Here is a 9459-nt window from a genome sequence, read left to right on the forward strand (position 1 = left end):
TGTTATAATGCTACAGCCATCAATCTGTAACGTGACTTTTATTTTTGTACTATTCAGGACAGCATTATTATTAGAAGTGTTGAACATACTACTGAAGGTTTTCATTGTGAGTAGATGTTCGATATGAATATAGGACCTTGAAGTAACCTACATCTAATTATAGGACCCCTCTTCTCCCTTCCCCCACTCCATGATAACTACCATTCTAAACTTATTCCTTTTTCGTTTTACATAGTTTTATTGAGTTTATATATACCCAAAAAAGTATGCGTAGTTTTGTTTTTAACTTCATAAAAAGGTATTATGCTCTATGTAGTCTTTTGGGACTAGATTTTTTTGGTTAATATTATGTTGCTAAGATTGATCCCTATTGTTGCATGACTGTAGTTTTTAACTGCTACGTAATATTCTGTTATGCAAACATACTACAGTTTTTTTCAACTACTCTCCTGTGTTGGTGAGCATTTGAGTTAGTTGTAGGTTTTTGCTATGTTAACAGTGCTATCATTAACAGTCTTGTGTATGTCTCCTGGAATATGTATGCATGAATTTCTTTGCAGTATAATTCTACAACTTGGAATTGCTGGGTCATAGGGTGTGACAGTATTCCATTTTGAGAGAGAATGCCAGACAGTTTTGTAAAGTGGTTGCCGAGTCTACACTTAACCCTACTCCCCACGGCCAGCAAGGGATAATGTGAATCTGTACTCTCTCCATCACTTGATAGTCAGACTTTTTTATTTTTGCCAAATGTTAAATAGTATCTCATGTGATATTGAACATTGTTCATATTTTTAATAGCTATATGTATATCTTATGTGAAACATCTTTTTATGTCATTTGTGCATTCTTCTGTGTGTGTGTGTGTGTGTGTGTTTTGGCTTATTGATTTAGAGGAATGTTGTATGTGTTCTTGATATAATACTAGCGAGGACCGCTAAGACACAATTGAATAGGTAGTTGTGGGCATCCTTGTCTTGTTTCTGACTTTAAAGGAAATACTGCTAATGTCTTCACATTTAGAATAATATTGTAAGTTTTTTTATTAACACTTTATCAGGTTAAGGAAGTTCTCTTAATTTTTTTGAAAATTTTTATTATGAATAAATGAACAAGATTAAATGGTTTTTCTGCAGCTATGAAGAAGAAAATAGGATGTTTCTTTTCTTTCAATTTCTTAATATGGTGAGTTAAATTTATAGATAGTCTAACATTAATCCAACTTGAGATAAATCACTTTCATTGGGATGTATATTTTTAATACACTACTAGATTTAATTTGCCATCATTCTGTTTAGAATTTTCATATCTATATTCATATGGGAAATGGGCCTGTAATTTTACTTTCTTATAGTATTTGGTTTAATTTTATGAGAAAATAAAATTAGTATTTAGTGGTATCAGTGTTATCAGTATCAGTGGCATACAGAGTATCAGTGTTATCTGATAGAATGTAGCGTAGGCCTTGTGGAATGAGATGGAGGACAACCAAGATGGTTGATTTTATGTCAACTTTTGCCAGGCCTCAGTGCCAAGATATTTAGTCCAGCATTATTCAAGATGTTTCTAGGTGATGGATCCAACATTATTCTGGATAAGATTAAAGTTTAAATTGATGGACTTTCAGTAAAGTAGATTGCTCTCCATAATGTGAATGGGCCTCATTCAGTTAGCTGAAGGCCTTAATGGAGCAAAGACTGACCTCCCACAAGCATGGAGTTTGCTAGCAGCCCGCCTCTGGGGCTCAAACTACAACTCTCCTCTGCATCCCCAGCCTGCCTGCCTGCAGGTTTCAGACTTGCACCGCCACAATTCATAAACCAATACCTTAAGTCAGTCCCTTCTTCTCACTGTCCCTCTATGTACACACATACACACACACACACACACACACGTGTACGTGTACACATGCGCCCATCTTGTTGGTACTGCTTCTCTGGAGAACTCTAATACAGAAGAAGTACACCCTGTTGTTTACTGGGAACTTTTGTATAAATTATGATCTGTTCCCTAATGTTTATGGTAGAACTTGCCTATAAACCAACCTGGGATTGGTATTTTTTTGGTAGAAGATTTTTAACCACTGGTTCAGTATCTTGAATATTTCTTGTACCATATAGGCTTTTCATTTCTTGAGTCAATTTTGATAAGTTATATTTTCCTAGGAATTTGGGCAGTTTTCAAATTCGTTGTCATTTAGTTGCTCATATTTCTAATAGTATTCTTTAATCTCTGCCTTATCCATAGTTATATATCCGTTTTCATCAGTATTACTTGTACTTACTTTCCTTTTTTATTTATTGCCAGCTTTTGCCAATTGTGCTATTTCATTTTGAAGAACCAATCTTTGACTCTGTTGATTTCTTCTACTTTTTCATTGTTTTCTACATCATTAACTTCTGCTGTTTATTTATGTCTTGCCTTGCATTTATTATTTCTTTTTCTAACATCATCGTAGTTATTCACTTTTAGCCTATTTTTTCCAATTTAAGTTTCTAAGGCTTTACATTTCTCTTAAAACATCACTTTCATCACACATCCTATAAGTTTAGGGATTTTTTTTAGTTGACTTTTTTTTTCTTTGACCTTTAAGTTATATAATATTATCTTTAATTTTCAAATATGGCAGGAATTTTCATTTCACTTTTTGCTTTTTATTTCTACCTTAATTGCTTTGTGATCGAATAATAGTCTGTCTAATTGCTATGCTTTGAAATTTGTGGAGGTTTTCATTATGGCCAAGTAAAAGATGAAATTTTGTAAATTTTGCATGTGTACTTGAGAAAAATGGATATTTTTGTAGTAACTGGTTGCAGAACTCTATGTATGCCCATTAGGTTTGGCGTATTAATTTTTATTGTTTTGTTCAGTTCTATATTTCTGCTGATTGTCTCTTTGATCAATAATTGAGATGTTGAAATCTCTCAATTTACCAAATTTTCTTGTAGTTCTAGCACTTTTTACTTCATATATAGTGACTATTTTCGTGTTTTAAATGTTTATATTTTCTTATTGAACCTTTATCATTATGTAGTGATGCCTCCATTTCAAATGCTTCTTCTCTTTTTGTATCATACTAACAGAGCCACACCAACTTCCTTTTTGTTGACCTAATATGCTATTTTTTACACTTTTACTTTCCTACTCTTAACCCCTAGGCTAGCCTGCTTCTCTACACTTTTACTTTCAAACATTTCATGTCATTCTGCTTTGCTGTAGCTTTTGGAGGCACCATATAACAGATTGTTTAAAATCCAATCTGATAATCTTGGTCTTTTAATGAGAAAATTTAGTTAATTTACATTTGTTATTTTTTGTACCTGTTTTAACCATCTAATTTTTTGATTTGGCTCATTTTCTTATCTTTTTTAAAAAAATTGTATTTATATCTTTTCTTCTCTAACAAATAATAATTTTAATGTACTCCTACAATACTTGGTATCTCCTTTTAACTCCCAACATGTTGATTTAACTTAGACTTAGTTCTGGATCACTATATAATTTTGTCTCTTTTTTTAAAAAAAAGAACCTTACTATTGTTAATTTATAACATAGTAGACAGAAGTAGGATAAACTATAACTTAAATAATATACTTCTAAATTTAAATTGATGTGTATCCATATACATTAGTCTATCTAAAACATGTTGAATGAAAATGGTACATTACAAAGACATACATAGAACATTTTTGTTGAATTCAAAAACCTAAAACATTGGCATATACTATTTATGAACACTTACACACATGAGTAAAAATTAAAACATGCCTGATATGTCTGGCACATAATAGGTGCTCAGGAAATATTTGTTGAGTGAATAAATGATACTGAGAATATAACCTGATAATGTAGGATAGTTCTTAGCCTAAATATTTAAAACATAAGAATTGGTGGTCTTAAAAATAATATTTATTTTCATATCTTTTAGATATGGGTAAGTGTCACCTTACCAAAGGCAAACAGGCTCTAGAGATTCGAAGTAGTTTATCTGAGAAGAGAGCACTTACTGATCCAATACAGGGAACAGAATATTCTGCTGAATCTCTTGTGCGGAATCTACAGTGGGCCAAGGCTCATGGTACGGTAAAGCCCATTTTTTGTTAGATCTACAATATACTTAACGTTAAATCATAAAGTTTCTTCTGAATAAATAACTTTCCTCCCAGTTTTACAGTGAAAATATTTTGGCCTACTAGGCAAATCTCAAACCAAACAAATATTTCAATTATGGATATTACACTGGCTTATTTGATTTAGAAATATCAAATTATTTAGCCCATTATTGTCACTATTGGTAAAATTTAAATGACCATTTAAAAATTTTTCTATTTTTAAAATAGGTTAAGTTTCCATTTGTCTAATACACAATCCTTTAGATTCTCCTATATTGTGACCTGTCGAAAATCATGGATTGGGTTCTGATCCAGTCTCTACCACTCTATGAACATGTTATCTATAACATGTAAATAAGAAATGGTACCTGCTTCAGGCTGGGTGTGGTCGCTCACGCCTGTAATCCTAGCACTTTGGGAGGCCAAGGCAGGTGGATCACCTGAGGTCAGGAGTTAGACACCAGCCTGGACAACATGGCAAAACCTCGTCTCTACTAAAAATACAAAAAGTTAGCGGGGTGTGGTGGCACGTGCCTGTAATCCCAACTACTAGGGTGGCTGAGGCAAGAGAATCTCTTGAACCTGAGAGGTGGAGGTTGCAGTGCAGTGAGCAGAGATTGTCCCACTGCACTCCAGTCTGGGCGACAGAGCGAGACTCTGTCTCGAAAAGAAAAAGAAATAGTACCTGCCTCATAGGTTATTGGGATTGAATGAGTGCATAGGTAGAAATGAGCATGGCACTCGACAAGTCCTCTGTACTTTTGATTATTCGTATAACTGAGCATCCTCTCTTGGACACTTGATCAGTAAGTTGAGTGATCAGCAGAGAAGATGACGTGAAAATCAATCTGTAGCTTAATTACCTTTTGGTAATTGTGTATGGTTTAATGAAAAAATAAGTTTAAATTACCAATTGAAATAATTTTGGATTTTCTGAGTCCAAGTATCTAGTCTGTGAGTCTCTTATAGATAATTGAAAAATAATTGTATTTAATGAACTTCTATAAAATATCTTTATTTTCATAAATAATAATTTTTGTTCTTGGCCAGGTGTGGTGGCTCACACCTGTAATCCCAGCACTTTGGGAGGCCAAGGTGGGTAGATCACCTGAGGTCAGGGGTTCAAGACCAGCCTGGCCAACATGGTGAAACTCCATCTCTACTAAAAATACAAAAAATTAGCTGGTCATGGTGGCAGGTGCCTGTAATCCCAGCTACTCTGGAGGCTGAGCCAGGAGAATCACTTGAACCTGGGAGTCGGAGTTTGCAGTAAGCTGAGGTCACGCCATTGCACTCCAGCCTGGGCAACAAGAGCAAAACTCAGTCTCAAAAAAAGAATTTATTCTCTAATACATATTTTTAGTAAATTAACATATTAAAGCACATTAAAATGTAAAATGCTATAAATATCTCACCATTCCAGATAACTGGATAAGTAATTGAATGTCTTTTCTCTAAAAAAGATCTAAACAACAAATAGCAAAATTACGGTGGTAAAGATCAACAATAAACGAAACTTCATAAAACAAAATGAAAAGGTCATATAGAAAATATTTGTAACAAATAAGAGAAAAAAAATTAAGACCCTCCTCAGTAAACAAGCAAATGATACAAATTCAACAATCCACACTGCTGGAAGTATAGAGAAAAATTTTTTAAATGGCTAATGTAAGTAATTAAGGAATAATTAAAACTGATGGTATCTTTCTGCTTTTTAATACCATCAAGTAGACAAATGTTTTAAAAATTAATACTCTGTTTTGGACATGTTATGCTGAAACTTTATATTCCATGCAAATTGAAAATAATTTGTCCCATATGTAAAGGAACAATCACATAGCTTTATCTATCTTAAAGCATTACGTATATATAAATATTAACTATGATAGAAAAACAATAAAACCCAGAGGTATTATAAATATTCAAGAGTTAACAGAATGGTTAAAGGTAACAAACTATAATGTGGCTGTTCAGTGACATTGTGCTTTATTAAAAATTCTGGTCATATAAATTGAGGCAACAGTGAAAATTTATCTACAATTGTATGCATATTTTTGATTGCCACAATAAAAATTATATATACAGTTGGATAAGAACTATAAACAAATGGTAAATGAAAGACTTTGTTTGGCCAGCAGAATAGTGAGCATTATTTTTTAAATTGTATGTGTTTAAACAATGTAAATCATGTTTTTAAGCAAAAGAAATGCTAACTATATTCTCCTCCATAAATATTTGCCTCTTATCATCAGAAAACCTACCAAAGTTGTTCTTATTGTTCTTTTTCAGAACTTCCAGAAAGTATGTGTCTTAAGTTTGACTGTGGTGTTCAGATTCAATTAGGATTTGCAGCTGAGTTTTCCAATGTCATGATCATCTATACAAGTATAGTTTACAAACCACCGGAGATAATAATGTGTGATGCCTACGTTACTGATTTTCCACTTGTGAGTCTCTTCTTTTATTTAAAATACAGTGATATATTCTCACTTATTAAAGACTAAATTTTTTAAAACTTAAAGTTGATGGTAAATATAAAGGAAATATATATATTTATATATGTGTATATATTTATAGTTTAGTAACACTGATCATAATATTTACTAATTGCCAAAATACCTTAAGTTTATGAGATTTAGAAATGTCTAAAGTTCACTCAGGAAGGATGCCTCTAATTTCTTATATCCTAAACACGAGAGCCAATGTGAAGGAATAAAATGTGCTATAAATATGTCAAGAATAATTTCCTTTTAAACAGTTATAACTTATATTGGAAACAGTAGTTTTTAAGTCTTGTTAAGGTATGGTCATATGCTGGAATAATAGAAATCTAGTTCTGCTCTTTTCAAACATTTAGGTTTGATAGTTATTTTACGTTGGTCTAAAGAAGCCAGTAAATAGTACCCCTCTTTCCTACATGAGTGTGACAAACTGAGAAGCAAGCAAGGAGTAAGACAAGCAGAAACCCAAAATATCACTTTGATTACTGATAGAGGCTTTGTGGAGGATATTGCTTCATGTCAGAGTAAATGGTCTAGCACCAAACCCCAGAATTGAGTGGCCACCCCACACCTCCAGTCTCAGCAGTACGGAGCCCAGATAGGCTTCCTGAGGTACTGAGCAAGCTGGGGGCCTGTGGGCTTCTCACTGGAGCAGCAGAACCCTTACTCTTGGCCATTGGGTTGGCTCTAAAAGAAGAAAAAGGAAAAGGCTGTTTATTTATCCTTCTTAAATATTCTAATCATATAAATTTCCCTGCACCTTCCCAAAAGTGATGATTAAGAGGAGAGAATCCAGGAGTCAAACACTAATGGGGCTCTCTCTGCTTAAGAGGAAACTTGAGTAGCTCAAGAAGCATTTCTAGGAATCATTTGAAAGGAAGCTCTTTCAGAGCTCACTTTACTTTTTAGATGGCTTAGTACAGAATTGAGAATTCCTATTATAACCATAGATTGTTGTTTTCATTGTTTAGTCCTGGATAATTTTGGGATTACCAAAATTCACGAGAGGCCAGAATTCACGAGAGGATAGTATCAGTTAAGATGTCTTATGTACTAGATTATATTGTGGCTTTCATTGATTTCATTATTAACAGTCCCTAATTTTTTTTTTTACAGGATCTAGATATTGATCCAAAAGATGCAAATAAAGGCACACCTGAAGAAACTGGCAGCTACTTGGTATCAAAGGATCTTCCCAAGCATTGCCTCTATACCAGACTCAGTTCACTGCAAAAATTAAAGGTTACTACCTTTTCTGTTTATAGCTACTAATGGAAAACTTTATGAAACTGGAAACTTATTTTGGCATAGACCATAGATATGCTGCCTTATTATTAAAGTAGAGATAACCAGTCTACAGAAGGTCCTATCAGTGACCCTTTTTATATTCTGTTTCCGATGGTGACCAGAGGACTTTATGTGTGCTTACCCTCCAGAATGCTAAAAAATTAGTAACATTAGAGTATATTCTTTTTTCTTTTTTTAGAGACAGAGTCTTAACTCTGTCACCCAGGCTGGAGTGCAGTGGCATGAACATGACCTACTATAACCTCAAACTCCTCAGTGCATATGATCCTGCCACCTCAGCTTCCCAAGTATCTGAGTCTACAGGCACATGCCACTACACCCAGCTAATTTTTTAAAACTTTTTGTGGAGAAGGGATCTCACTATATTGCCCAGGCCAATCTCAAACTCCTGGCCTCAAGAATCCTCCCTTCTTGGTCTCCCAAAGCACTCGGAGTACAGGTGTGAGCTTCCACTCCCAGCTCCATATTCTACTTTTAAATATGTTCAGATTTTCAAGTAATCATTTCCTAGTTCTATGACTAGACATATAGCAAATTAGAATTTTTTTTCCATTTTTTTATTTCTAGTTGACTTACAAATGAGAAGCTAGTTCTGCACATTGAGTGTTCTAATGAAAGCTTTTAATTTGTTCACAACTACATGACCATAGAATGTATCAGCTAAAACTCAGGGAATGGAATGGGCATGATTGAGAATTACACACATAAACCTGTTGTCATCCTGTTCGGAGCTCATCTACTTAAAATCCTTTCTTCTCTTAAAAAGTTAGCCCATTATCTGATTCAGTTATATTTTCCACCTACGATTATGGATTACTATAATATTTTAAAAACAGCTTAAGCTTTTTTTATAAAACTGGTATAAAACCAGGTTTTTTTTTTTGTTTTGAGATGGTGTCTCTCTCTGTCGCCTAGGTTGGAATGCAGTGGCGCGATCTCAGCTCACTGCAACCTCCACCTCCCAGACTCAAGTGATTCTTGTGCCTCAGCCTCCCGAGTAGCCAGGACTACAGGCGCACACCACCATGCCCAGTTAATTTTTTGTATTTTTAGTAGAGACAGGTTTCACCACGTTGGCCAGACTGGTCTTGAACTCCTAACTTCAAGTGATCCATCTGCGTCATCCTCCCAAAGTGCTGGGATTATAGGCGTGAGCCACCACGCCGGGCCCAGATCATTTTTTAATTAAAAGTTAATACCCCATCTCTAATAATAGGGAAGGGTAAGTTTCCTAAGCTGCACTGCTTGGAAAATGTTTTCCCTGTTCATCTAGAGTGTAAGAAAGATCTCTTTGACTTTGACTACTAACAGTAGTAAGAACTAGAAATTCTAAATGGGTTGTAAGTATTGCATGAAGGAAAAGGAAGATAATGATAGCTGGCGTTTCTCAGTTTCAGGGAGATATAAAGGATGCCTTGAGGATTTGGAACCTGGGAAAGGAGAGTGAGTGGATTTTTGGGGGTGGGGGTGTGTATGTGTGAATATTTTCAGATTGATATATATTCACTGTTGATGCCAATAATAAACCAGATTTTTTT

The 9459-nt window shown here is 34.3% G+C and overlaps 1 protein-coding gene and 1 long non-coding RNA gene across 5 annotated transcripts in view; one reads left to right on the forward strand and one right to left on the reverse strand.

Annotated features, from left to right (window-relative positions):
* MALT1 (MALT1 paracaspase) overlaps nt 1-9459 on the forward strand; it is an 83013-nt gene that overhangs the window by 66472 nt on the left and 7082 nt on the right. For both annotated transcript variants that reach the window (NM_006785.4, NM_173844.3), the window contains 3 exons: nt 3929-4078; nt 6402-6559; nt 7730-7855. In NM_006785.4, coding sequence (NP_006776.1) covers nt 3929-4078; nt 6402-6559; nt 7730-7855 — 434 coding nt within the window. The remainder of the gene's footprint in view (nt 1-3928; nt 4079-6401; nt 6560-7729; nt 7856-9459) is intronic.
* Nucleotides 1-9459, reverse strand: part of LOC105372146 (uncharacterized) — a 107606-nt gene that overhangs the window by 65324 nt on the left and 32823 nt on the right. The gene's annotated exons all lie outside the window — the stretch shown is intronic.

This window comes from Homo sapiens, chromosome 18 (assembly GCF_000001405.40).
Source record: "Homo sapiens chromosome 18, GRCh38.p14 Primary Assembly".
Taxonomy (NCBI): Eukaryota; Metazoa; Chordata; class Mammalia; order Primates; family Hominidae; genus Homo; species Homo sapiens.